The sequence below is a fragment of the Homo sapiens genome, chromosome 5 (genome assembly GCF_000001405.40).
Source record: "Homo sapiens chromosome 5, GRCh38.p14 Primary Assembly".
Classification (NCBI taxonomy): Eukaryota; Metazoa; Chordata; class Mammalia; order Primates; family Hominidae; genus Homo; species Homo sapiens.
In genome coordinates, this window is record NC_000005.10 from 146,359,652 (window position 1) to 146,361,391 (window position 1,740).

General features: G+C 41.7%; 1 annotated feature.

Annotated features, from left to right (window-relative positions):
- Positions 862 to 1,031: an enhancer, noted in NCBI's record as "experimental_81810 CRE fragment used in MPRA reporter constructs". NCBI's record gives its function as "activates a minimal promoter by MPRAs in K562 erythroleukemia cells, with activity observed for the non-introgressed 5:145740161 variant allele {active_cell/tissue: K562}" and the evidence as "EXISTENCE:reporter gene assay evidence [ECO:0000049][PMID:34662402]".

Consider the following 1,740-nt stretch of genomic DNA (forward strand, 5'->3'; position numbering starts at 1 on the left):
TTTTTCTTTTTTGGACTGGTTAGATTCTCAGAGAAGACTCTTTCAATTTCCTGTTTGGAGTATGTTTGTCTGTCTGCTCATGTTCAAGATACTGTGTGGAGGAAGAGGAATGGGGTTTTCAATATTTAGAATGTATAATTTAAGTAATCCTTCTGTTTTCAGTATGATTTCCCACCCTTAACTATAGTTGGTGTCCCAAATACAATGACTTTTTAAAAAATGTTTCCAATGAATAAATTGCCAGTATTCTGCCAATTTTCAGGAAAGGCAGTTGCCCACTGTGCCAAGCAGGGGAGGTAACCTGGGATCTAACTGCTTCTTAAACAGACTCTCAACTAATCTGCCCACGTGTGGCCTTATCTTCACTCCCACTTCCAGAGATAGTAGTACCGTCTCCACAAGTGTTGTAGACAATCTGCTGTGCACGTCACACTGCTTCTCCTAAGTCCCACTGCGGACTTAGGATTCAGCTTTCTTGAGTCTATTATACCAATGACCTCGAGTCTATTACACCAATGACTTCTTATCTATTTACTTTCCAGTGTCCAACTTTTTTTTTGGCAGTTGTCTTCTTTCTCATTTTCTTTGTCCCTGTAGGCTTATGCTTTAAATATTCTTTTATTATTATTGTAAGATTAAGTTTTGGGAGAGAATGGAGCTGATGTAAACAACCAATCTCCTATTTTAGGGGGAAGTCTCCAGGGCAGGGATTCTGAATGAAGATCTGAGGACTCCTCGGAGAGCCAGGGATGTGCTGGGGGCGAGGGGGTGTCTTTGTACCCCCGACACTGTATGTAAACATTTGTGTCTTTATGTGCATATTCCCACCCTTACTAAGTCTACAGCTTTTATCAAATTCCCAAAGGCATCTGTGACCTCTTCTAAAATTAAGTACCATTTCTCTAGATGCCAAGTAATATGTTACATTGGGAAGAAATATCACAGGCTTGAAGATATTCAAGTTTAGGAAAACAGCAGACCAACCCCACACTCATCAAGCCTGCTAATAAATGCAGGTTCCAATCACAGGGATCAAACAGCCCTTGAAAACCAATGTATTCCCATTTATTGTGCCACATAGTACATAATTCTCACACGGGTCCAAAGAAACACTGCAATATCCTTGAATAGCCACACACTGGGCACTGGGCAGCAGAGTGGTGCAGATTGAGGTGAACCAGTTAGTATGTGCCTGGCTTTAAGGGGGCAGAAGTTACTCAGCATCAGCTGGTAATTGCTGTGTGGAGACATAAGCAGAAAGTGAGCAAATCTGATTTTTCCTGAGAAGCTGGCAATTTAGACTTCTAAAATGTGATATCACCTTATCTCTCTTACCATAAAATAAAAATTTAAAAATCACGTGGGTCAAACTAAACACATATATGAGCCAGGTGTAGCTCACAGATCACAAATATATGATATTTGATCCAATGCAATCTTTTTTCTTTTGCACGTTGGGAGCCTGCAGCTCAGAATGAGGAATTGCCCATGTTCAGCCTTTGCCATTCTAATAGGTTCTAGGCTGGCTCTTGGGTCCCTGAAGGCAGCTCTGGATCTTTCTTGTATAGACCAAAGGGTAGAAATCCATGGCATTGGAGTACAGGGTGTGTGTGTGTGTGTGAGTGTGTGAGTGTGTGTGTGTGTGAAAGAGAGAGAAAGAGGGGGAGAGAGAGAGAGAGAGAGAGAGAGAAGTAGACTATTTGGGGAAGATGGTGGGCTCTGGTGAGGAGATAAGATGAA